The 26,684-nt window shown below is 48.1% G+C and overlaps 1 protein-coding gene and 1 pseudogene across 3 annotated transcripts in view, besides 1 other annotated feature; one reads left to right on the top strand and one right to left on the bottom strand.

Annotated features, from left to right (window-relative positions):
* ST8SIA5 (ST8 alpha-N-acetyl-neuraminide alpha-2,8-sialyltransferase 5) overlaps nucleotides 1-26,684 on the top strand; it is an 89,233-nt gene that overhangs the window by 26,981 nt on the left and 35,568 nt on the right. The window contains exons 2-3 of one of the 3 annotated variants that reach the window (NM_001307986.2): nucleotides 8,604-8,711; nucleotides 25,409-25,501. The exons of 1 other annotated variant lie outside the window; for it this stretch is intronic. In NM_001307986.2, the coding sequence (NP_001294915.1) occupies nucleotides 8,604-8,711; nucleotides 25,409-25,501 (201 nt within the window). The remainder of the gene's footprint in view (nucleotides 1-8,603; nucleotides 8,712-25,408; nucleotides 25,502-26,684) is intronic. One more of the 3 variants, NM_013305.6, reaches the window with a different exon arrangement.
* Nucleotides 6,870-7,098, bottom strand: RPS21P6 (ribosomal protein S21 pseudogene 6; annotated as a pseudogene).
* Nucleotides 12,213-12,999: an enhancer, noted in NCBI's record as "H3K27ac-H3K4me1 hESC enhancer chr18:44297037-44297823 (GRCh37/hg19 assembly coordinates)". NCBI's record gives its function as "activates a minimal SCP1, AML or CMV promoter by ChIP-STARR-seq in primed H9 embryonic stem cells {active_cell/tissue: H9 hESC(primed)}" and the evidence as "EXISTENCE:reporter gene assay evidence [ECO:0000049][PMID:30033119]".

Below are 26,684 nucleotides of genomic sequence, written 5' to 3'. Positions count from 1 at the left end.
ATCCAGAACCTTCTCCCTCATCAAACTGGCACTTCTGCCTGAAATCCTGCCAAAGGCTGTTTAGCATTGGAGCTATTTGCCCCTCACTGAGAACTAACAATTTCTGGGATTAGTGCTGCAGTTCTTAGTAGAACCCTGGCCTGGCCTCCTCCAGTTCACTGCATTTTCTGTCCTCTCACCACCCCCTAACCTCTGGACTCTTCCGAGGACCCCACCTGTGCAAGGTGGTCATTTCCCAAATAACAGTTAAAACCGGACTGTCAGTTCTTGAGGGCAGCAGCAGTATCTCCTAACACTGAAGAAGTCCGTTTGTAATTGTTGGTCGCAACACTGTCATTCTTTTGGAGTCTTAGTGACAGGTTAATGGGTAAGATACTTTAGGGACAGGGGACAGCCCCTGTGGGCCTTCAAGTCATACCCCTCCCTGCCTGGTGCCCCTTACTAGCTCTGGATTATCCACTGTAAAACTTGTCTCTTGGGTGGGAGTTTGCCTGGCAACACCTCTAACACCTCTATGGCTGCAGTCCCTTTGCCTGCCCCAGGAGGGTTGGACTCAACAAGCAGTCTGGCATGTGTTTCTGGCTGGCCTCCCCTCTCTCTGTTTCTTCCTCTTTCCCAGGACTGGTAAGACCCTCCTGTTCCAATTTTCCTAAGGAGACCTCTGGGGAGGGTGGAGTTCAAGGCACCCACCCCTGGCCCCCTTTCCCCACTCTGGTTGCTTAAGGACTTTGAGAAAGACAATTTGGGGCTCAGTTTTAGATATAAAGTCTAGTTTCTTCCCTAGGAAGGACCATAATTATGTAGGGGTGACAGAACTCACAGATAGACAGGCAGAGGTGACCGCTGAGTGAGGCAGGATGAGAAGGTGTAGGGGGTTGGAGAGTAAGTGCTGACTTAGTTCCAAGGTGGGACGGCCTGGTGGGCTGGGCCAGAGTGGTCAAGAAGGGCCTCAGGGAAGTGGTGGTGCTTGAGCTGGACGTTGGAGGTTGAGGGACATTGAGGCAGGTGGGGCGCAGGATGATTGTGGGAGCACAATAGTGGCTTAAAAAGCTGAGGTTTGCAGAGGGGTGCAAGTGAAACTGCAGGGCCACTCCTGGGGCACTGAGTTGAGGGTCTGATCCTGTCCTTTGGGTCGTGGGCAGTCTTGGAAGGTTCTGGAATAGGCAAGTGGTGCTATTGGGATACTCCTTAGGAAGCTCACTCTGATGGCAGTGTTCAGGCCGTTGGACAGGGAAGGCATGAAGACCTAGGAGACCATCTAGGAAGCAGCTGCCTTCCTGTCCTCTACTGACCTGAAAAACAGAGCAGAGCAATGACAGTGGCTTCAGTCTCACTCTCCAGAGCATGTGGGGGGGCCTCAGCCTGAAGCAGGAGGCTCTTGGAGGTGGTTTGCAAGGATGGGTTCAGTTGCATTTTGTCTTGAGCACATGGCCAGTCTCTTGGTGACCTGGGCTGCACGCTGTGCCCCACTGGGTTGAGCAGTCAGCACATGGGGTCCTGGGCTCTGGCATCAGGGGTGGGGCTTCTTTGGGGAACCTAAGTCCACAGTGCCAAATGCCCTGTGCCCCATAGATTCAGCCTCTTTTGGTTCAACCACCCTGGAGATTCCAGCATCTGAGTGGGCACTCGCGGATGCTTGGCCCCAGGCCTACCATATGCGAAGGCAGATTGTGCAGGAGCCCACACACTGTGAATGGATAGCTACGCATGTGCCACTTCCTCCCCTTCCTGTGTCCCCCACAAAATTGCCTCCACTGGCCTCCTCCAGTGCCAGAAATTCTGTAACTTTGGCACTTCAATCAAAATGGGAAAGGATCTCAGAGATGATTTTGTTCAGCCTCTTCATTTTATAATACTCTATAGTTTTTTTTTTTTTTTTGAGATGGAGTCTCGCTCTATCACCAGGCTGGAGTGCAGTGGTGTGATCTCAGCTCACTGCAACCTCTGCCTCCTGGGTTCAAGCGATTCTCCTGCCTCAGCCTCCTGAGTAGCTGGGACTACAGGCTCATGCCTCCATACCCAGCTAATTTCTGTATTTTTAGTAGAGATGGGGTTTCACCATGTTGGCCAGGATGGTCTCGATCCCTTGACCTTGTGATCCTCCTGCCTCGGCCTCCCAAAATGCTTACAGGCGTGAGCCACCACACCCATGCATGGTTTGTTTTATATAGACTTCGTCATTAAACAGTCCACAGCAATGGCAGCAGCTCAAATAATATTAAAAATATTGGACAATGGAAAAGTCTTTTTTTCCCCAAAAAAGAGCATGAGAACATGGGGTTAAAGGAGAGAAGGAAGAAACATGGGCCCTGACGCCGGGCTTGGGCTTGAATACTTTCTCTGCTCTTCACAATATCTGGGCAGGTTGTAAATCTAATCTCCCTAGGTTCAGTTTCCTCATCTGTGAAATGGTGATACTAATGCCCACCTATAGGCTTTTGGGAGGATTTGAAATAACATGTAAATCTGTCACAGTGCCTGGAACATATATATATTTTAATCCATTGGCAAAAATTTTAATAAGATAATGCCTTACAATATTTGGAGGGTATTATTAATGGAGGTAGTTCCACCTGTTTTTAAATTGCTTCTCTGAGATGTGATTTTGCCTTCTGTCCTGAAATTCCCCTGGTAGTTGGCTCAGGGAAGCATGGGCAGCTTTCCCCATCCTCTGATGGCTGTAGGATTCATTGCCATGAGAGCAAGGGGCTATGTTACATGGCTGTGGGTTACACAACCAGGGACCTGGCTGAGCCAGGTTGTCAGCAATAACCACACAACAGAGAAAAGCTGAGCCTCCATAAACATATCCCAGATTTTATAATCAGAAAATCCAGACAGAGCTATTTTTATTTTAACAGGCACATAACTTTTGAGTAAGTATGGGCGTGAGGTGGCACCACACACTTTTCAGTGCTTGAGGCCTCTAAATATCTGAATCCAGTCTTGAATAAATCAGTTTACATAATTCTTATATGTTCTGTTTCCTTAGGTTCAGGGCTGTGTTCAATTCTAGCTTAACCTGCAAGGTGCAAAGATTCTGCAAGGCTGACTGAGTCCAGGAAGCTGCCCTTGGCTACTCTAAGGCCTTGTTAGTGATTACGAGTTTAGCACAGTTAAGCACTTGTTTTTTGTTGTTGTTGTTTGTTTGTTTGTTTTTTGAGATGGAGTCTCGCTCTGTTTGCTCAGTGCAGTGGTGTGATCTTGACTCACTGCAACCTCCGCCTCCTGGGTTCAAGCAATACTCTGCCTCAGCCTCCTGAGTAGCTGAGATTACAGGCATGCGCCACCACACTGGGCTAATTTTTTTGTATTTTTAGTAGAGATGGGGATCCACCATCTTGGCCAGGTTGGTCTTGAACTCCTGACCTCGTGATCCACCCTCCTTGGCCTCCCAAAGTGATGGGATTACAGGCACGAGCCACCGTGCCTGGCCTTAAAAATTATTTTAACGTGTATTTTTATTATGGAATTATAGACTACAAAAGAATATGGAGAACAATATAACAAACATTCATGCAGTCATGACTGAGAATTAGCAGTGTTAACAAATGTTAACATCCTGCCGTATTTACTTCAAATCTTTTCTTTTTGAAAAAATAAATTAGACATAAAAAACCAGTTACAGCACTCCATTTAAGCACTTGATTTTGCCCTATCTTGTTTGCTAATATTTCTATGTGTGTTAGTGTAATTATCTCAATTTTATGGTGAGCATTTTGGAAACAAGCGTTTGCTCTTTGCTGTTACTTGGCCCAGCAACTACCAGTTCCTAATGCATAGTAGATGCTCAACAAATGTTATATAAATGAATGAGTGAATAAAATGTTTTATTTTTTAAATTTTTTTACAAATTTATTTTATTTAATTATTATTTTTGAGACAGAGTCTCACTCAGTCACCCAGGCTGGAGTGCAGTGGCACAATCTCGGCTCACTGCAGCCTCTGCCTCCCAGGTTCAAGCAATTCTCCTGCCTCAGCCTCCCAAGTAGCTGGGACTACAGGTGTGCACCACCATTCCTGGATATATATATATATCCAGGATATATATATATATCCAGGATATATATATATATATATATATATATATATATATATATTTTTTTTTTTTTTAAGTAGAGATGGGGTTTCACCATGTTGGTCAGGCTGGTCTCAAACTCCTGACCTCAAGTGATCCTCCCACCATGGCCTACCAAAGTGCTGGGATTACAGGCGTGAGCCACTGTGCCCAGCCATGAAATGTTTTTTCATTTTGTCATCTTCCTTTATACCTCCACAGGCCTTCCTCATTGGGTTTCTTTGACTAATAATAGATCCTATCCTTAGCTCAGGAATGGAATTTAAATTATATAATACATTGGTTTTGAAAATTATGCAGTTAGGTTTTTTTGAGGTAAATGAGTAAACATTGCTAAACTAAAAGAAAAAATAAACTTTAATTCCACCTACAAAAGTAACCAGCTTTCTGGTATAAAACCTTACAGAAATGGAACTACTATTGGGTATCTCCTTTTGTAACTTGTTCCCCCCCCACCCGTGCCATTTAATAATGAGTGTCTTGCTAAGTCATCATATTTTCTGCTCAGTAGTCCCTCGCTTCTATAGTCCTGGGAGGGGACTGCCATGTGAAGGGACATGGGGTCTCACCATGGGTAGGAGGATGACAGTGTGGCTGGCTAGCTGACCCTTCATGCATGCTGTGGGAAGAAGTCTAGCTGGTTAGACTATTTTTTAAGGACCCATGAGTTTCGTAGCAGACTCCTGGGCTGGACATTGATTTGATATGTTTGTGAACTAACTAGTTTGCAAAATCTCGGGTGGAAATATTACTGTTTTCTTGGCCTCTAGGCTGTTTGGTAAAGACTTTTAGGAGTAGAAGCATTTAGAGTTAGCCCTCGGTTTAAATCTTAGCTTAGCTACTTGTTACTTGGGCAAGCTACTAAACCTCTCTAAGCTGCATATTTCATCAGCTGTAAATGGAGATAATGAGATTTTCTTTCTTCCTTCCTTTCTTTCTCTCTTTTCCTTCCTTCCTTCCTTCCTTCCTTCCTTCCTTCCTTCCTTCCTTCCTTCCTTCCTTCCTCTCTCTCTTTCTTCCTTTCTTTCGTCTTGCTCTGTCACCCAGGCTGGAGTGCAGTGGCATGATCTCTCCTCACTGCAATCTCTGCCTCCCGGGTTCAAGTGATTCTCATGCCTCAGCCTCCCAGAGTAGCTGTGATTACAGGCACGCACCACCATGCCCAGCTAATTTTTGTATATTTAGTAGACATGGGGTTTCACCATGTTGGCTAGGCTGGTCTCGAACTCCTGACCTCAAGTGATCCACCCACCTCGGTTTCCCAAAATTCTGGGATTACAGGTGTGAGCCACCATGCTTGGCCCGATCATGAGATTTTCTGCATGAGGCGTTTGTAGGAATTGAGACCATTTATGTAAAGGGCCGGGTTCATAATAGGTGCTCAAAGTGTCTCTCTTCTGAATAAACCAAACCCAAATTTTCTCCAAGAAATACCTTGGTGATCTCTTTGAAAGGAAACAACCACTTCAATAAATAAATAAATGGATAAATGAATAACTATTGAATCAGAACCAGACCGGAGCCCTTCTGTGTTTTGAATGGACTAAGAACTGGACAGGCATTTTGCTTTGGCTTCGGCCTCTGCCCTGTGAGTTGTACCTTTTCCTCTGAGCTCCCCACTGCTGTGGAGCCTGGAGAGTATGAGAACAGGGTCTACTGTTACTCAGCAAAGCATCGCTGGAGCACTTCATGTGTGCAGCAGAGAGCTGCTGGCAGGGCCCCAAGGGGCCTCCTCAGCCCAGGGTCTGGCTGGGAGACTAAGCTGACACACACGTAGGAGGTGAGCTAGACTTCTGAAGAGGGAGGTGCGTGGGCATCATAGAAGAAGGCTCAGATCTGTGATACTTGCAGTCAAAGACTTTGAAGGCAACTGAGACAGTCCTCTTGAAAGATGGGAACAGAGGCCTTGAGAGGTGCAGAGACTCAGGTACTCAGCCTATTAGTGGAGATATGGATGGATCAGTTCCCAGCTCCAGTGACCATCTGCTGCCCCATTCCCTTAGCTTAGAGGCTATTTATTATTAAGGGTTTTATTGAAAAAAAATTCTGCTTTTTTCTTTTTTTTTTTTAGATGGAGTTTTGCTCTTGTCACCCAGGCTGGAGTGCAATGGCACGATCTCAGCTCACTGCAACCTTCACCTCCCAGGTTCAAGCGATTCTCATGCCTCAGCCTTCTGAGTAGCTGGGATTACAGGCACCTGCCACCATGCCTGGCTAATTTTTGTATTTTTAGTAGAGACAGGGTTTCACCATGCTGGCCAGGCTGGTCTCGAACTCCTGGCCTCAGGCAGTCCGCCTGCCTCGGCCTTCCAAAGTGCTGGGATTACAGGCATGAGCCACTACGCTTGGCCTTCTGCTTTTTTCATTTGTCTTTTTCCCCCTGCATTCTTTTTTTAAGTGTTTCACTATTTATTCATTCATCTATCCATTCATTCATTCATTCAAGACAGGGTCTCACTCTCTTGCTCAGGCTAGAGTGCAGTAGTGTGATCTCGGCTTACTTCAACCTCCACCTCCCAGGATCAAGGGATTCTCCCGCCTTAGCCGCCCAAGTAGCTGGGACTACAGGCAAGTGCCACCATGCCCAGCTAATTTTTGTATTTTTTGTAGAGATGGGGTTTCACCATGTTGTCTAATCTGGTCTCAAACTCCTGAGCTCAGGTGATCCACTCACCTCGGCCTCCCAAAGTGCTGGGATTATAGGCATGAGCCATCAAGCCTGGCCTCACTATTTATTTAGAGAAATATTCCACATCCATGATTCTGTCCAGTCAAAAGTTCTTTCTGGGGCGATGCTGTTGGCTTTGGCCAATCGGAGAATGGAATAATCTGACTCACCCATCCTGCGAATGGCCCTCTGGATAACATAGGTTTTAAACTGGTCGTTAAACCTGCCCGTAACCTTGTCAATCTCGCCCATGTCGTTTTGCATGGACCCATGGTCCTCGGCACCAATGGTTGCTGGTGGAGCATTTCCATGGGAGGTACAGGTTTATGAACTCACTGGCATTGTTCTGCATATTGAGACCACACTGGGCATGAGCAGAGAAAGCTGTTCTGTTTTATTTTGTTTTGTTTTGTTCTCTGACTGTTAAAGTTTTCTTCACATGATGATGGTCTTAATAGCTTGTTTATATTTAAGGGCCAGCCAGTCACTAGAAGGTTTCTTGGAAGCTCTGTGGATTGTTATAGACAGCGATTCTCAACTGGGGCAATTTTGCCCCCAGTAGACATTGGCAATGTCTGGAGACATTTTTGATTGCTGCAGCAGGAGGGTCCAGGGTACAATGCTGCTGGCATCTGGTGGTAGAGAGCAGGGATGTTGCTCAGCATCCTATAATGCACAGGACAGTCCCACAACAATGAAGTAGCCAACCCCAGATGCCATAGTGCCAGGCTGAGAAAGCCTGCCCTGGGGCAATTAAGCGGGCACCAACCCTTTCCTCCATATCTGTTTCTTTTGAGCGGATCAGTTTCCCTCCTGAGAAACCCATCCCTCAGCAAACCTGGAAGGCAGGGTGTGTGACCCAAGCATTCAGAAGCCAGGTGCACTCAGTAAGCAGACTTTCAGGCACATCCACTGTTTTCAGTGCAGAGTCTCTGATAAGAGAAAAGAGCGCAGAACTCCTGTGAGTCGGTTTCCCCAGAAAGCAATCTCCTGACATCTGTGAGGTGGGCAGGTGGAGTGGCCAGGCTGCCTGGGCTTGGGAAGAGGGCCTGGTATGGGAATTCACAGGGCGTTGGGGAGAGGGTTGTCTGACTGCTTTTTGTGCAGACTTCAAACAATGCTGCTCTTAGCTCCATTGTGCACTCCCACCTTCGCTGGCCCTGGGGACCTTTCATTCCTGAGCCTTCCTGAGTTGTTCACTGCGAGTAGATCTGCTTTTTGCAGGAAGTAAGATGTCCACTGTCTGGTGGAGGTCCATGACCTTGTGCTTTTCATCATCCAGCATGTTATTGCTGGCCCCTTCTATGGCCTTCTCCCGACATGCATGTCTGTATTTATCCCTTTGCTGTCATTTTAGTGAGGGTTGGGGAAGGAGTGAAGATAAGCATGTGCTGAGTGCACGTCTTGAACCAAAAGTGGTATCCTTGTGTGCTGGAATACTGTAGATTTTATTAAAAGCTCTGAAGTGTGTCTGGCTTTTGAGGAGGACAAAATGTGGTGCTGGCGCTCTTTTGGTTTAACTGGAGGCAGGAATTGAGGGATGGCACGGTATAGGAGGTAGAAGAGCTCTGCGACCTTTGTCTCGCAAAGTCGCAATGTCCCTGTGTGTGAAATGTGTGCTCTCAGCCCTGCTGGTACAGATGGAATGAGGGGATAGATGCAGAACCGCAGAGAGCACTGTAGAGGGCTGTGGTTTATGATCACCATCCTCATGGTTGGAGTCAGTACCATCGCCTCCTTTAATTGCATGACCAAGGCAATGTGTCACTTGGGCACAGCAACAGAATGTGGCTCTCTGGTAGGCAGGCTTAACCCAGCAAATGAGCATGAGTACCGACTGCCTCGTTTTCTTGCCAGAGGCCTCCAGTTTGGTTGGCAGAGTGGTGACCAGCTGACCAATTGGACGGGGCTCTTTAATGTCACGGATGATCCAGCAGTGCAGAGCGGCAGTGACTCCAGCTCCAGGTACAGACCCCGGCAAAAGGCCAGGGAGTGGGGGAAGCTCAACCCGGGGTGGCCCTGCAGCCCCTGCCACATTGTCCACTTCCTAGGGTGGAAGAAGCAGGTCTTGTTCTGGTGGCTCGAAACTCCCTGCACTTTGGTATCCCACCTGGTTCCTTTAACTTGAAGGTGAATGAATTTGAAGGGTGAGGCATAGGACCCAACCACAACCAAGCGGGGATTCACTGGCCCCTTCTATCAGGGGGTAGGGTGGGGAGTCTTGGTCTCAAACCTCCATTTAGGGGTGGGGGCCAAAGCTCTGTCCCTGCTGCAGGGATTTCGGATATCAGCCAGCAAGTGTGTGTAGGTGTGTGTGGGTGGGTGGCATCAAGAAGCGGGTGTCAGGTGGGTGTTCCCTGCTTCTCTGAAGTCCCTTGCCCAGGTACTCCCTGCCCTGCCCACAGGGGAGGTTGCCCTTGGCTGGAGCAGAACCATTTCCATCAAGGTGGTGCTGAGATTTGCTATGCGCCCCATCATGTGGCTATTTCCTCTTGATCAGTAATATTTGTTGAATGAATAAAAATGGAATATTCTCAGGCTGAGCACACTCATTGCAGGGAGGGTATTGTGGAGAATTTTTGCAGATGAGGCAGGATACTGTCTCTGCTGGGAGCTGGGTATGACTGGAACCTGCCAGCTAAGCATTCCCAGGGGCTGATTAAGCTGTTTGGTTTCTTAATTTTTGTATTTTTAAGGAGGGGGTAACTCTCACGTCCGTTTCCCTGAGAGAGAGGCTTGCATTTTTGTTGCTGGTGATTTTGACACACAAACATTAAATTGACCCTGCAGAGAAGTAATGGGTTTTTCAAGGACCCCTGATATGTATGTTTTTATTCAATGCTTTGAGAAAGATGAGATTCTGATGTCAGAAACCAGTCAAGCAAATGTCCACAGACATGCCCGAGGGTGTGGGGATGGTCGCACGCTGTGGCCTGGGCTGGAGGGTCTTATGCTGGCCTTTGGGACCACAGTTCTTTCCATGGAAGTGCAGAGGGAGCTCTGGACATCACGGGTAAGGTGGGGGCCCATGCTTGTCCTGGGAAGCTGAGCCTCCCATGCTGGCCTGTCTGCTAAGCGGCCCTGCCTCCCAGGTGGTGAGCAGTCTAGGTAAGTCAGCAAGTGTGTACCTCCCTACTGGACTCCTGGGAGAGTTCTTCAAGAGGTTTGGGGTAGAAAATGCGAGTCAAAGCCAAGCATGGTGGCTCATGCCCGTAATCCCAGCACTTTGGGAGGCCAAGGCGGGTGGATCACTTGAGGTCAGGAGTTTGAGACCAGCCCGGCCAACATGGTGAAACCCCATCTCTACTAAAAATGCAAAAATTAGCCGGGTGTGGTGGCACATGCCTGTAATCCCAGCTACTCAGGAGGCTGAGACGGGAGAATAGCTTGAACCTGGGAGGCAGAGGCTGCAGTGAGCTCAGATTGTGCCACTGCACTCCAGCCTGAGTGACAGAGTGAAACCCTGTCAAAAAAAAGAAAGAGAGAGAGAAAGAAAGAAAGAAAGAGAAAGGAAGGAAAGAAGAGAGAGAGAAAGAAAGAAAAAGAAAAGGAAAGAAGAGAGAAAGAAAGAAAAGAAAGAAAGGAAGGAAAGAAGAGAGAGAAAGAGAGAAAGAAAGAGAGAAAGAAAGAAAGAAAGAAAGAAAAAAGAAAAGAAAGAGAAAGATAGAAAGGCGAGTCAAGTGAGCAAGGCGGACCGACGGGCCCCTGGGAAGCTGTTTCTTGGCAGATGTCTCCAGTCAGTGGCTGAAACCATTGTCATTGCATGGGCTCCATTCCTAACTTTTCCTGCTGCCAGTATCTTTTGTCTTTCCTTCCTCTTTCCACGGTTTCACCTGTAACTTCTCATAGCCCTCACTGCACCTGTGTTCTCCTCTGCCTTTCTTCCTGTTACCTGTTTTTGTCCATCCTTCCTTTCTTCCTCCCCATTGCCTCCCTCTCTCCTCCACGTCCTTGCTTCCCTACTCCCTTTCTCACTCCTCTTGCCCTTTATTTTCTCTGCCCCTCTCTCCATGATCTGGGCCAGCTTCCTCTTTCCTATCAGCCGGGAGCCTGCAGGGTCAGAGACACAGCTGACCTCTGTCAAGTTGGTTTTGGAATTCAGGTGCCTTTGATGCAACATTGTTAGCAGCTGAGTTGACTTCCTTCTGGAGCGCTCCCATTTGAGCAAGAATTTCCTTAGTCACAGAATAAATGGCATGACCACACCTCCCACATTTTCCTGGGACAATTCCAATTTCAAATCTCTATTTCTAGTTGACCCCGAAGTACCCCCCTAGTTGAAGGACTGCAGTACGTAGAGTCCCCACATGTGGGAAATAATGGTTAACGTAGTTAGAATGGAACTGGAGTTTTTACCCTGGCGTGTGAGCAGCTTCTGCCTTCTTTAAAATGGGCAGGACAGCTCCTGGCAGCAGCTGTGCAGAGCTTGGGGGAGGACCTAACGAGGACACGACGTACATTGTCCCAATTGACAACTCTCCAAATCTGGAAGATGGGATGAGCTTCATGGTATTATTCACATATTGAATAATTCAGTGCATGCCATGTTTTGCTATCTATAGTTGTGTGGTGTTGAAGTGTGGTACAACCTGTTATTTATTATTAACAGTTTGGAAAGGAAGTCAGGAAGTACCAAATATAACCAGAGGATGAAGAGGGGCAAAGAAGCAAATGACTCATACATTGTATATACTCAAGCAGGAGCCACAGGCAGAAGGAGCCAGTCCAAATGATTAGTCCGGAAAACTCCAAACAGCACTACAAAGCAAATTCAAGCCAGATAGTGCTCATAAAAGGCTGTGGTCAGATCTTCTTATTGGTCACAGGCTGGGGAAGTACAGGCTGAATTAGAAAGGTGTGAGCTATAAGATATACATTGACATATAGCTTTATTAATTTCAAGTCTAGGTCTATGAAGTGTTGTCCAATAAGCATCCTTAGGGGAACTGATTTAATGAGCATATAGGAATAATTTTTTTTCTTTTTTTTTTTTTTTTGAGACAGAGTTTCACTCCATTGCTCAGGCTGGAGTGCAGTGATGCAATCTTGATTCACTGCAACCTTCGCCTCCCGGGTTCAAGCAATTCTCCTCCCTCAGCCTACTGAGTAGCTGGGACTACAGGCACCTGCCACCAGCGCCGGCTAATTTTTGTAATTTTTAGTAGAGACGGGGTTTCACTGTGTTGGCCAGGCTTGTCTTGAACTCCTGACCTCAAGTGATCCACCTGCCTCAGCCTCCCAAGGTGCTGGGATTACAGGCGTGAGCCACAGCACCCAGCCGGAATAATTTTCAATCAGCAAATATTTCTATTTAAGTGGGTGTTTTGCACAAGTAGGAAGGCCTGTGAAGACATTTCTCATGTGTTTGTGCTTCCATCGTCTCAGTAAGACAGTTGTTGTGCATCTTCCGTTTTGAATTGCCAGAACCTAGCGTGGCACCTGTTATGTAGTAGGTGCTCAATAAATGTGAATTGTGTAAAAAAAAAAAATGAATTAAGCGAGGAAATAGTAAAGGCTATTGGTAAGAAAGAAAACTTAGATTTCAGTGTTCCTGAGTCTTCCCTTAGAGATTTATCCCTTTGGATTCAACCTTGTCTCCTGGCACTGTCTTTGAAAAGTTGTCCCCTTTCTGGAAACACATTAGAATCAGAAACTCATTCACAGGCTGGAATTGCCAGAGAATTCGCTCTTGAAAAGAGCTGATAGTAGGGCAGGCTGACATTTGTGGGCTTCTGGGTGGGAAAAGGAAGACTGACAGTTGGTGGGGGTGAGGTATAAAAAGTAGAGAGGGTGGAGAAGCCCCGTCTCTACTAAAAATACAAAATTAGCCAGGCGTGGTGGCACATGTCTGTAATCCCAGCTACTCGGGCGGCTGAGACAGGAGAATCGCTTGAACTCAGGAGGCAGAGGTTGTGGTGAGCTGAGATCACGCCATTGCACTCCAGCCTGGGCAACAAGAGCAAAACTCCGTCTAAAAAAAAAAGTAGAGACGGGGCAGTGAAGGCAGATGACGTGCTCCTGTGCTAACTGACTAGACCTCCTCCTGAACACCCCTCACCGAGCATGGCCCCTCTGGGAAGGCAGAGGAGGATAGAGGGTACTTGTCCTCCATGGTCAGCTGCAACCCTGTTCCCTCTGGACTGGCCTAGCTGCCTGTCTGCCCAGCAACTGCTCAGAGAGCAGGGGGAGGCAGCGGTGCCCTCATGGTGATGGCCTCTGTCCTGTAGGGTGGGCAGTGTTGCATGCATTGCCTCAGGAAAACATCCCCCACTTCAGTCACAGGGACAGAGGACAGCTGAGGCAGGAGTCCCCCAGACACTGTCCCAGCAGAGCTGACTGTCAGCCTGGCCCATGGCCACAGCACAAAGGGCTTCACTCAGCTTCTGCCAACTGGGTCTGGCTCCACATCCAGGTCCTTGTCCTCCCTCCAGTATCCACTTCCTCCTTGAAGCCTTCCCTGCTAGCCCCAGCCCAACCGAATCACCTTTAACTCTGCCTTCTGTAGATACGTCTGCCCCCAGGGCAACTTCTGTCATTGCACACACAGAGGACCCTCTGGCGAGTGCACATAATCCTTCTGTGTTTGCTCAGGTATTCCCCAAATCCCGAGGAGCCTCTGGCTTTGGAGGACTGGGCTAGACCACCTGTGCGAGCATCTCCAGGGCCCTCTGGATCCCCTAGATCCAGGCACAGCTGCAGGCTCCTTGGCTGGCCTCACTGGCCCCCTTTCCATACTCCACACCAATCTTGGCCCTCCGGGTCTTACCTCTGGAACAGGCTGGCAAAGAGGAGGTGTGGAAGGCAACTCAGGAGACACTTGTCTCTGAGGTCCGGAGCGGGGCTGGCCCAGGCTGCCTGTGGGTGGGACAGCCTTCTCCCTGCACCCTTCTTCCTGGGCTTCTGGGATGGAGTGTGGAAGACCTCCCAAGGCCAGGGTAGCACCAGCTACAGGAAAAAAGAGCAAGCCCCAAATAGATGACACAAGAGGGTCCTCTTGGCTGAAGAGCGAGCCAAGTGAGTGTCTGGGGCCAGGCACTATACTGGGTGCCTTACATGTATTATCCCATTCAGTCCTTACCCTCAAACATTTGAGGTGGGTGTATTCATTACCCTCCATTTTATAGATGAGGAAATTTAGTCACCAAAAGATTAGGTCACTTCCAGGTGGTGGGTGGAGCTGGAGCACTATATCTATCTATCTATCTATCTATCTATCTATCTATCTATCTATCTATCTATCCTGTGTGACTCCACAGTCCCAGCACTCATGGGAGGGGTTAGAGGGGTTCTTCCTTCTGGGCTGTGGACAGCTCATGCAGGGCTGGGTGAGCCTCCTTGTCTTTTCTTTCCAAGTCCTTTCAGGTCTTCTATTTCTGCCCTCAGCTCCTTGCTGTTAGACCATAATAAAAAGGCCATATTGATTTAAGTAGATCACTTCTGGTCAGGCACAGTTGCTCATGCCTATAATCCCAGAACTTGTAAGAGGCTGAGGCGGGAGGATTGCTTGAGGCTAGGAGTTCAAGACCAGCTTGGTCTACATAGCAAGACCTCGTCTCTACCAAAAATAAAAATAAAAAAAAATAGCTAGACATGGTGGTGCATGCTTGTAGTCCTAGCTACTCAGGAGGCTGAGGTCGGAAGATCACTTGAGCCCAGAAGTTCGAGGCTGCAGTGAGCTGAGATCATGCCACTATGAGCTGAGAGCATGCCACTGTACTCCAGCCTGGGTGACAGAGTAAGACCGTATCTCAAAAAATTAAAAAAAAAAAAAAATAGATCACTTCTGTGCAACTGTTGTCAAAGCTGCAGGGTTGATCTCAGACAAGATGATCTTTAGGGTCTCTCATCTCCTCCTTCCCTATCTCTTCCACTTTCTATCTTCTGTGTCCTCCTCCCTCCTGCCTTCCCAAGTGTGCTTAGTGTTTTTCTGATTGTTGCCTCTGAAAAATGCATCCCTCCACCTGCTCCTGGCAATTATACATTTCAAAGAGGAGCCCTTGGGGGCAGTGCGACCCCTGCAGTCCCGAATGCCATCGTCCAGGCTGAAGGCAGAGCAGCGGAGGAAGCACACTCCTGTGTGGCAGGTGCAGCTGGCTCACTTCAGCCTTCCGGGTCAATGTTCTCTTCTGCAGAAAAGGAGGGAAAAAGGGCCAGAGCTGTTGAGCTTCACCCAACTGGGAAGGATTTGGAGATGCAGGTTTGGTGGAATGTTCTGGGCTGGATGCTGGAGAAACAAAAAGCAAAACAAACTTGGCAGCTTCCCCCATTGGTCCCATGAACCTGATGTGGGCTTCTTGGGGCCTGGCAGAACCCAGGCTGCGGCCGGCTGAGGCTGCTGGTGGAAGTGGAGTTGTTGGCACTGGGAGACTCCTCCTCCTTAAGTCAGGGTTGCTCCAGGAGTGCTCTGAACCCAAAGCTTTATGGCTTTTGAGTCTCTGTGGAGTCTCCTGGGCAAATAACCACTTACACAAACCTTTCTGTGCCTCAATTACTTCATCTGCAAAACTGAGGTCATTAACCCAACTCTGGGGGTGATACAAAGGAGGTCACAGGCTCTGTAACTCCCTGAGTGCTCCAAGGTTAAAGCACCTCACAGGTCCCCATAGGGCTCCGTGGAGGTGGAGTGAGGGGGTCTCTTCCCCCCCTGCTCAGTCACTCCTGGGGTTCTCTGAGTGGGCCTAGGTTCGCCCCAGACGCACAGCACTTCCGTGGGGGGATAGCACTCCCTCCCTGGGCCTTGTCTGCTTTCCTGTAAACTGAGGAGGCCGGATCAGCTGGGTGCAGTGCCTGTCAGGGCCTCACCCCTTCTTCACTGCAGGTCAACTCCCCAGACTCCGTTCCTCCCTTCAGCTTCCACTACCCATTCTCCCTCTTCTCCTTCTTCACGATCCTGTGCTTCCTCCCTTGTAGACCATCTTTGAGAATTTTATGCCAATCACTTGGCAAAGGCAGGAGGCTAGGGGAAGGCATGAGAATGGGAAAGAAGGAAAGAAAAGGGAGTTGGAGTCGGGCTGGAAGGACCAAGCATCCACCCACCCATTAGATTAGGGGATGCTCACAAGGTTAAGGCAGCTGGAGGCTCTTCCAGTTTTCCACTGCATGTCTCCATTTATAGCCCGGCATCCCCCAACTTGATGGCCACCAAGACCTTGCTAAGCTAGTAAGTGATAGCAGGTCATGAAGCTCCCAAAGAGGCCATCCTTCCCCATGCGAGCCTCCTGGTTCGAAGTGCTTCCTCTGGCTGATTGTAAACCTTTCCTCCCTAAGTCTCAGCTGGGGCTCTTAGGCTTGCCTTTTGGAGGCTCACAGAACACTGAAGTCTCTCTTTTCTTCCTCCAGCCATCCCTTTACACTTTGGGAGACATCCCATCCTCTCCACTTGCCCCAGGACCAGGTCTTCGGACACTCACTCAGCCCTCCTTCACCTGCAGACTTCCATGGCACCATCTCCAACATTTCCCACTCCTGGCCTTGCTTCCACCTACGGCAGAGGGGCATCTGTTCCCTTCTCCCTTGAATCTGCTCTTGTCAAGGTCATTGATGACTTCCTGGTTGCTAGATCAGTGGTGCCTTCTCTGTCCTCCTCTTCTTTGACCCCCATTTCCAAGACATATGGGTCAGCACTGCATATGGCCCATCTGTCCTGGAAATGCTCCCTCCTCTTAGCTTCCATGTCCCTGGGCTCTGTGTCTGGGTTTTCTTCCACCTGCAGACCTTTCTTCTCAGTGTCATTTGCTGCCATCTGAATGTGGGAGCTGACCTCAGGCCTGTCCTTGGCCCTCTTTCTTCTTCTCTCTGCACTCTCTCCCAGTGTTTCCTGAAGTCCCTTGTCCTTTGACTCTGGAATGTGCATCCCCAGCCCTGACCACTGGGCCTCAGCCATGTGCATCTGACTGCCTACCTGTGATCTCCTCTAGATGTCTGAGGGCACAGGAAGCTTCACAGGGCCCAACACCCCAAACCTGTTCATCTCTCTAACCTTTAAATGGTTATGTCATCCCGCTAGTTGTTCAAGCTGAAGTCCTAGGAGTTACTGTTGATTTATTCACTTTCTAAATTATCAATGCATCCTGCTGGTTCCATTCCTAAACTATTTCATGGGTCTGTCTCCTTCTCCCCACTTTCTTTGCCACCCCTTAGTGCAATCGACTGTCTTTTCATGCTGCAATAGTTCTCCCTCCCTCCCTTTACAGTCCTTTATCCCCACATCAGATCACGTTGTTCCTCTGCCGAGTCCCCATGATACTGGGTGGCCCACAGGCCCAGCTTGACTTGGCTTTGCTCACCTCTCTGACCTCCACAACCCTGCCTAGCCACATTGGCAGCTGCTACTGCAGAGCAAGTGATTGTATTTACTCACTTCCTTCTCTGGGAAGTTCTTCCCACACATCTGCACAGGGCTCCATGCCTCTATTCATGTCCCCTGTCCAGAGTGGCCTTCCTAGGCCACCCACTATCCTTCCAGGCACCCTCCAATTCCTTGTCCTGCTTTTTTTTTGGAAGAGTTATGGCTATGTGGCATTATATTGAATGAATCATTTATTGTCGCCCCTGTGGAAGTGCCATGAGAGTGGGGACACTGGCCAGTTCATCAGTGCATCCTGGCCTGAAACAGTTCCTGGCACACAGTAGAGGGTCTATAAATCTTTGATGAGTCAAAGAGGAGAAAAACCCTTCTCACGCATCAACAGCGCAGACAGGCCATGGAGGAGCTGTGTGTAATTCCACATAATAAGAGCTGGTCTGGAGGAGTGCCCAGGGGCTGCAGGCACAGAGGAGGGAGGGCCACGAAGGGAGCCAGTGGAAGCTGACCCCTGGGCTGACTCTGCTGAATGAGTAGGCAGGGACTAGCAAGAAAGCAAAGAGTATTCCAGACAGAGAGACTCCCCCAGGGGGGAGAAGACCGAATCCTTTCCCTGGCACTGGGGTGGAGATGGGGACTACTCAGGAAGGAGAAGTGGTGAGAGTTGGCGGAAGATGAAGGAAGGAGAAGGAGGCAGCTAGGATGTATCTCTTGGCTAGGGTGCCTGTGGGCATGGTGGTCAAAGTCCATGAGAAGCAGTAGGGGCACTGGCCAGTGCTAGCATTCACACACTGAGGCATTCCTGGCTGTTGAGCTGAATTTTACAAAGGGAAGCCTTTCAGGGCTCCCTAGTCTGGCCTGGAAAATAAGGTCATCATGTACATACTCTCACAGGGAATATGTTAAACACTGGATCTGGGGCCCTGCAGAACTCCGGGGTGGGGAAGGAGGAATGAAGCTAGACACCAGGCTTTGCCCTGCTACCCCCAACCCCCACCCTGTGCCAGAAATGACCCTCAGGCTTGGTGTGAGGTGCACACCTGGGGCAGATTAATCCCAGGACTATTTAGGGTTGCACTGAGAACATCAGGCTTTTTAGCATCCAGTTCTGATATCTCAAAACAGCTCTGATAATTCCTGGGGACAGATGAGTGAACTGTGGCCCAAAGAGGGCAGGTGAAGTTCAAGGCTGCTGAGCCGGGCCATGGACCAGCCAGGGGTTGGAGCCGGGGCTCTCCACTGCCATGGCATGTCTCCTGACAGCTGTGACCCGCAGTTGTTAACAGCTGAGCTGTTCTTGCCTCTCTCCTACCTATCTGGGAAGACACTTCAGTCCTTTGAATTGTCAGGCTGCAATTTTCAGACTGATTTCTGTGCGTTTGCTGTGACGGGTCGTGTGCTATCTCGAGACGGCAGCTGTTCTGGCTCTAGAAATAGCGCTGAGCTCACTGAAGGGCTGTTGCCTTTGGGAGGGGGAAGGGCTGCTGACTGAGAAAACCCCCCAGAGAACGATGGCTGTCAGAGTCAGGGAGAGGAAGTGCAGTGACACTGTTAAGAGCAGGGGTTCCGGGCTCTCACAGTCCTCAGGTTTCTTTTCCAGTGCCACCATTTACTAGCTGAATGACCTTGGGCAAGTTACTTTACCTCTTGTAGTTCAAGTCTCAGATATAAAATGGGGGAAATTATGCTTGCCTCATAGGGCTATTGGGAGGATTAAATGAGACCAAGTTAAATGGTCTGGTATCAGGCTGTCATGGACAGTTGTGCAGGGTGGGCACTGCACAAAGATACTCAGCCAGGCAGTCAAGTGAGGCTGAAGTACAGCTTACTCTCACTTGACCAGCCATGTGTCTGGTGCATGTGGCTTAATTTATCTGGGGAAAATGGTGCTTTTTCCTTATTTGCACAGAGGCGCTATATGGGCTAGTGGTGTCTCTAACCAGTGTGGAATAAATAAACAACTCCATGGTTCTCTGAGACTCTGCACCAAGCTGGACAGGAGTCTAGGTGTTCAGATTAGTTTCCCTGTTCACCTAGGGCTAGTGGAGATTTAACAGGTGTTTGTGCGTGACACAGGGACCCCCCTGGGCTTCTATTCTCTGGAGTACCATCAGTGTCTGGGGGTGGGGATGGGGAAGTGTTAGATAGAAAGCTGAATGCATGGACCTCATCTTGTAGCAGCCAGTGGTTGCTGGGACCCAGAGTACTGTTGCCCCCAAGAAAGGAAACATGGCCCTGGAGAAGCTCTGGAGAGGGAATCAGGCCAACAGGGGAGCCTCTGTGGGGCAGGCTTTTGGGGAAAGGCTCATAGGAATTACAGACCCAGGCTCTCAGAGGGCCAGACCCTGGGCATGCTGAAAGGAGCCTCTTCGGGAGAATCACTTGAACCCGGGAGGGGGAGTTTGCAGTGAGCCGAGATCATGCCACTGCACTCCAGCTTGGGTGACAGAGCGAGACTCCATCAAAAAAAAAAAAAAGAGAGAAAGAAAGAAAGGAAGAAAGGAAGGAAGGAGAAGGGAAGGGAAGGGAAGGGGAAGGGGAAGGGGAAGGGAGAAGGAAGGAAGGAAAGAGAGAAAGAAAAAGAAAAAGAAAGAGAGAGAAAGAAAAAGAAAGAAAGAAAGAAAGAAAGAAAGAAAGAAAGAAAGAAAGAAAGAAAGAAAAGAAAGAAGGAAAGAAGGAAAGGAAGAAAAAGAAAGGAGGCCTCCTTAGCCCACAGAGCTGGAGCCCAGTCTGGGCAGGGAGAGAACTGATGCCCAGGGCCACTGTGTTCACCTCTTTCTGGCCTTCTGCATTTGTCTTCTCACTTAGTGGAGGGCAGAGAGATGGGGCAGAATGATGCAGCCTGGCACCAGCATCATATTTGGCTGCTGGAAACTGAGTGGCATTTGAGAGGAGTTGGGCTCCTGATATCACCCGCTGGGACTATTTATACCTGTGAGATGCCCTACATGGTGCCAGGGTGCCCTCCCCTTTGATGTGGGTAAAGATAGTCTTTCTAGCATTGAAAGTAGAGACAGTGACGAACTCACCTTGAGAGGCTAGTGGAGTTTAAGAAGGTTGGAGAAAGTGCTTCCCTCAATCTTGTAACAGGGTAAGGGGAAGCTTGAGATAGTTAGAAGAAGGTCTGGGACTTAAAAAAGAATTTATTAGTGATTTCCAATAATAAAAGAATCATAACCCCATTGCAGAAAACTTATAAAAACACAGAAAAGTATTTAAAAAAATAACGCATCATCCCATTTATTCTGAGAAACCCCTATTAATATTGTGTTACAATTCTTCCCTTTGCCCATGCTTTCACATACGTATATATAATTCTTTTTGGAGATCATAGTTTTGTAACTTGCATTTTTTTACTCAACATTGTCATGTGAGCATCTTCTTATGTCATTAGACAAAAAAACTTTAAGCAACATTTTTGATGTCTGTATATCTGTATCCAGACCAAATGGGAATTTCCATGAATTTCCATGACACCCTCCAAAATGCAGTTCTTGAGCGTCCTGTTAGAAGCAGAATATGGGACAGTGCTTCTCAAAATCTTATTTCCTATCTTAGTTCTTTTGGGCTGCCATAACAAAATAGCTTAGACTGGGTCGTTTATAATTATAACAGGAGAAATTAATTTCTCACAGTGCTGGGGGCTGGGAAGTCCAAGATCAAGGTGGCAGAAGATTTGGTGTCTGGCGAGGGCCCGTTCCTCATAGATGGCAGCTTCTTGCTGCATCCTCACATGGTGGAAAGGCAAAAGGCTGTTTGAAGCCTCTTTTATAAGGGCCTAATCCCATCATTGAGGGCAGAGACCTCATAACCTAATTACCTCCCAAAGGCCCTGCCTCTTAATACCATCACATTGTGGATTAAGTTTAAACATGAAACTTAATGTTTGTATTGGGGATACAGACATTTAGACCATAGCAACCTCAAGTCAATCATCTCTACAGACTGAGCTAGAGCAGTACGGACCAAAAAAGCAGAGCCCAGGTAGGATAGAGAAGGAAGCCAGGGCTATTAGCTCCATTTTCCAGATGGGAAAACTGAGGCTTTAGACTCAGGCATGGAATAGTTTTGATGACTTGGCTAAGGTACTACCTGGAGTGTTTTCAGGGTGCCTGGGATTTGTTTTAATCGGATATGGTAAGACACGAAAATATGGAAATGACTGTCATGAAGGAAGAGGTTTTGATACTCACAGATCCCTAGAAACAGGAGGCCCTGCAGGACCATGGGAAGAAGCACCCAGATCAGTAAGGAGGCAGAGGGAGCGAGGGGGAAGTGTGGGCAAGAGCCGTCGTTGGGATTTCCATGGAAAGGAACTGGTGAGGCAGGGTTTGCAGGTTTAGGATTGGTTGATCTGAGTAATTTCAGTGGGTTCTGGGGCATAGGGGTTATCCCTAGTTGCCTAGGACCTGGCCCTGGGGTGAGTGGGGAAGAGCTATTCCAGTGTCCAAGAGTATGGGAGCCTGATAGGGGCATGGGCTCTGGATTGGTTTGCAAATGAAAGGTGCACTCACAGGCTAGTCCTTTACTATCTCCAGGAATTGGCTAGCCCTAGAAGAGGCAGTCCCTCCAGGGTCAGCAAGGCCCCAGGTGTCAAAGCATCAGAAGCACATGGTTAATGAGCCTCAGTGAGATGAGGTGATCAAGCAGGTCCATGTCCAAGCAGGACTTAGTGTGGGCTTTATCCACAGGGTGACAGGGGAGAGGTTTACTAATCACAGCAGAAGGAGGATGTCACCAGTGCACACAGTGAGAAACTTCGAGTTGTTCATCCCTGACTCAGGCCTGCCATCAACCAGCTTACCATCAGAGACTGTCTCTGACTCCCTGGGACTTCCTGGGGCATCCACTGGTATCACGTGCTCTTTAGTGGCGGGACAAAGAGGACAGAGGGGAATGAGCATTTTTGGGGTAGTTCCTGTGTGCCAGTGGATTCCATGAAATGCTCAGCAGTGTTTTTTCTCAACCCTGTCGCACATGCACTGCATTGTTTTTGCTGATTTGCAGCTGAGAAAACAAAGGAGCAGAAAAGTGCCAGGCCTAATGTGGCTGTCAGAATACCATAGACTGAGTGACTTAGCTTATAAACAACAGAAATGTATTGCTCACAGTTCTGGAGGCTGAGAAGTCCAAGATCAAGGCAGATTAAGTTTCAGGTGAGGACCTACTTCCTGGTTCATAAACAGCATCTCCTTGCTGTATCCTTACATAGTAAAAGGGAAGAGGAGTCTCTCTTGGGCCTCTTTTGTAAGGGCAATGATCCCATTCATGGGGGCTCTGCCTGCAGTACCTCCCAGTGGCCCCACCTCCTAATACCATTACCTTGCCTGTTAGGATCTCAACATATGAATTGTAGAGGAGACACAAACATTCAGACCATACAGAGGCCAATGAGGGGTGGAGGGATGTGAACCCAGTTCTGAAAGCCTCTCTACCTAAGCACCACCAAAACCACGGCACAAGGTCATTTGGAATCATGATGCTGCCTAGTTGGGTATATGAGTGATGTTGAGGATGCAGGAGAAAGAGGAACCAAGGAAGAGGCAAGGCAGGAATGCCTTTGTGGAGGAAATGGAAGGGCTGGCTGATTGAAGAGGAGGTACTACCCTAGTTCAAACAGATTGTTTTAAAGAGGAGAAAAAAGAGATGCAGAGAGGGGAAGTTTTACCCAAAGTCACACAGCTGGTTTGTAGCCATATCCGAGATGTGTCTGCAAGTCCCCAATTCCCCAATAACTCTAGGATAAGTCTCGACCTAATGATTTCCTGCATCATTTGAATCTGGACCTTTTCTTAGCAGCAACCTAGGACCATGACTTTACCTGACTCAGTGGATTCCAAAGGGCTTAGTTGACACCAGCTCATGTTACAAACAGTGATCTTTGTGATAGGACACCAGAGCTCACTGTTGTGTGACTGGAAAATTAGGTGAGTTAGAGCCAAGGTCATGGGCTCGTTTTGTGGCCCTAGGCTGACCCCTTGTTCTTATTTGCAGATAACAGAATCTACATTAGCTAGTTAAAGCAGAAAAGGATTTATTAAGGGCACAGCTAGCTCAGATTCATGGGGAAAGCTGAAGAAATGGCTGAACTTCCAAGAATTCCTCCCCAAATTGCAGTGAAATGGGGCCACCGTGAAAGCTGCTGCCTCTGATATAATCATGAAGGTGTTACCACTACTGCAGTTTCCAAGAGCCATGCCACCTCTGCCACATTCTGCACCAGCAAAACCATGCCTTGAGCCTTGCCATTCTTCCCCTATAACAGGTCTGAATCCATCTCATGCAAATGCTTCTAACTGGCTGAACCTAAATTGCATCCAGAACCCTACCTGCAAAGGAGTCTGGGAAATGTCATTTTTAGCTTTCCTCCCTCTGTAGTACAGAAGATATAGAGATAACAAAGACACTGTCTCTGTGTTTGAGATGCTCGTGGTTTGGAAAGGAACACAATTACATAAACACACAATTGTACTATTATGTAGGTGCAAAAGTAATCGTGGTTTTTGCCATTACTTAAAAAAAAAGGCAAAAACTGCAATTGCTTTTGTACCAACCCAATACCATGTTATTTGCTCTAAGAGACAGTGAGCAGGGGTAGCCCAGGGTCAGGGTCAGAGGAGGCTTCCCAGCAGTGTGGTTACTCGAGCCGGGTACTGAAGAATCCATTTGAGTTTGCCAGATGAGAAAGAAAAGGAGCTGTAAGACACAAAGGTGTTTGATATTTTGGGAATCTTCAATACCTAGTTCTTATTAACTTGGTCTAAATTCTTTTATGACATGAGAACAAGGAGCCAATTTATTTTGTAAATAGGGACCAATTTGTTGTGGAAAATATTTTAATATCTTAAAATATTATGTAAAATTATTTAAATATGTAATTATAGTACTTAAAACTATATTAAAATTATTAAGGACAAATATTTATAAACATAACTTTTAAAGTATCACAGTATTATTTTAATGACAAAATGACAATACAAATACAATGATAATAATAATAAAAATACCAATATTTTTAAAAGAAGCCAATATATTGGGTAAAATATTTCAAGATTTCTAAAGCAGCACATACATAAGTTTGTCCAGTGTGTAAGGGTACGTGCGAAATGACCACTGCTGTGTGTAGTGGTTTCTGGGAGATGCTTGAGCGATGCCTAATTTCCAATCCTTGGCCCTGGGGAGCCCCTCTCACCTCTGATTCTTGCAGACTACGTGTTGCCAGGCCACTGATCCCATGTTTATAGTGGTTTGGCCCTGCAGGCTTCTGGATTCATGATGTTAAGGCTGTCCTGGGATCCAACCCTCCAAGCTCCACCCACCCCTGCCTCTGAACAACCGCCAGGAGGAGGGGGGCTGTGAGGAGAGGGCTCACCGGGCCTCTGCCACAGGAGGCCAGAGGGCCCTTTCCAGGGGACACCAGCCGTGCTCATAGCCAAGTGGCAGAAAGAGCAGCCTTGAGTCAGCATGCAGGTTCCCATCTTGGCTCTGCCACCTTCCAGCTCCGGGGGTCTGGGCACCTTAGTTAATTCCTAGAGCCTGTTCAGGATGCTTGTGTCAATTTCCTCATAGGCTGATTAGAAAGATTAAAAGTGAATGCATCCATTCACATCAAATGCTTGGCCTGGTGCTTAGCCTATGGTAAGGGCTTAGTAAGTGTTGGTTGAAATTGGCATTGATATTCTGCATGAAGCTGGCAGAGGGACCCTGAGGTGGCTGTGACATGCCTGGAGCCAGCTGGTGCTGGAAGGGGCTTGTTCTGTTCTGCAAGTAGACCTAGACCAAGCCCTGGTCCTGCCCTACACGGACAGTATGACCTGGAGCCCTGTCTGATTAGCCTCAGTATTGTCAGCTGCCAAATGGGGAGAAAGGCCCATCAGTCTCAGCTATGTCACAGTGTAGGCACGAGGATCAAGTGGGAAAGGGGCAGGGAATGGAAGGGCAAGTTGGAGGCCTGAAGGCTCACTGTCGGACTCCCAGTGCTGCGCCAGAATGGCTCTGGTCTCTCTGCTTTCTCTGATCACAGTACACACAGCATCCCTCCTCCTCCCCTCTCCTTCCCAGCCACAAACTTGGAACCAAACCTGCTTCTGAATTTCCCTGTGTGCTGAAATCTGTTTATGCCTCTGTAAATGCCTACACTCCCAAGGGAGTGGGGCGCTGAGAGTAACTGACCACCCAGTGATCAAGCCAGAGGGCCCCATGGTCTGCCTGAAGCCCCTAATGGGACATCTGCTGGGATGGGGCTGGTTGGCTTTATTTATTTCACTGGGACAGACACTCCACCCTGCAACAAGAGCCCCTGCAGGCCCTGGACATCCTGACCTGCTTCTCTGTTTAACCTGTCTCTGTTGGTCCCCAGGTACTTTGAATTTTATGAGGGGCCTTTTGAATATAACTCCACAAGATGCCTGGAGCTGAGGCACGAAATATTGGAAGTGAAGGTGCTGTCCATGTGAGTGTGGCCATTTGTGGTGGGTGCAGGGAGCATGTGGAGGTGGGGCAGGGGTTGGGGGTGAGTGCGTGGGGGCAAGGGTGGAAGGAAACAGGAAACACATGGTAGGTTCCTATAGAGCGAAAAGTAGGTCTCCTTCCCCAGAGCCACTGGCATTCGGAAAGCCCTGGAGGGCTGGAACACAGTGATGATTGTGCCTGTTTTATGACAAAAGGCCAAGTTTGCAAGGTCACCTCTGGTGACTCGGTGTTAAAGTCCCCGCCTCAATTACTGGTCTCTGATTATCATTACTGGCTCCTCTTGTGTAGAAATTGAAGAGGGCACAGGACTGTTTTGCCTGAAATTCAGTATGTTGCACCGCAGGGTTAAGCGTTGCCCTCTTGCTATCACCTTTGATGGTTTTAATTTTATTAAAAGTTTGGATTTTTAAATTATTTAGGTGATACAAAATTTGTGCAGTACAGATGGTTATTCAATGAAGAGCCACCGAGTTCTCCCCAGAGGTGACGATGTGGCTTTGGGTATCCTTGCAGAGTCAATGCATGAATAAGAATCTATGTATGGAGATTTAAAAAGTTTTTTTTTACATAAATGGTAAAAGAGCTGTGCTCCCCACTCCCCACTTAACAATGCATCACCTATAGCTCTTTTCAACCCACAGGAGGGAAAGCACATTAAATGCTGAACATTTTAGCATGCATGTGCCCACCTGGGTTTCCGCCCTTCACAGAACTGCCATGAATTCAGCAAACCCATTTAGAAGAATTGGTACTATATTAGTCATGACAGAATCTGTATTTATTTGCAAACAGTTACATCTGGATGTGGAAAAAATATAGTTTATTCAGAGGCAGGCAATGTTGGGTGCTCAGATGGACTCATCGGTCCCCTGACATAACCCCAGGGGCATCTGGGGTCCCTGGCCCTCAGGCAGGGACCGTTGTTCCTTTACCCATCTGATGTGATTCCAACTAGTGTGCATCAGGGGAAGAGCATGGGTTTTGGGGTGGGCAGACCTGAGATCTAAAGCTGACTCTGGGCCTTGGCATATGTGAATCTTTCTGCAAATGTCTTAACTTCTCTGAGCCTTTCCTTACCTTTGAAAATGGGGACACTATTACCTACCCTTTAAGGGTTGCTGTAGACTAGCCGAAATAAGGCATGTGAAAATAGATAGCCCAGG

This window comes from Homo sapiens, chromosome 18 (genome assembly GCF_000001405.40).
Source record: "Homo sapiens chromosome 18, GRCh38.p14 Primary Assembly".
In the NCBI taxonomy this organism is placed as follows: Eukaryota; Metazoa; Chordata; class Mammalia; order Primates; family Hominidae; genus Homo; species Homo sapiens.
This window is presented reverse-complemented; position numbering and strand designations above follow the sequence as displayed.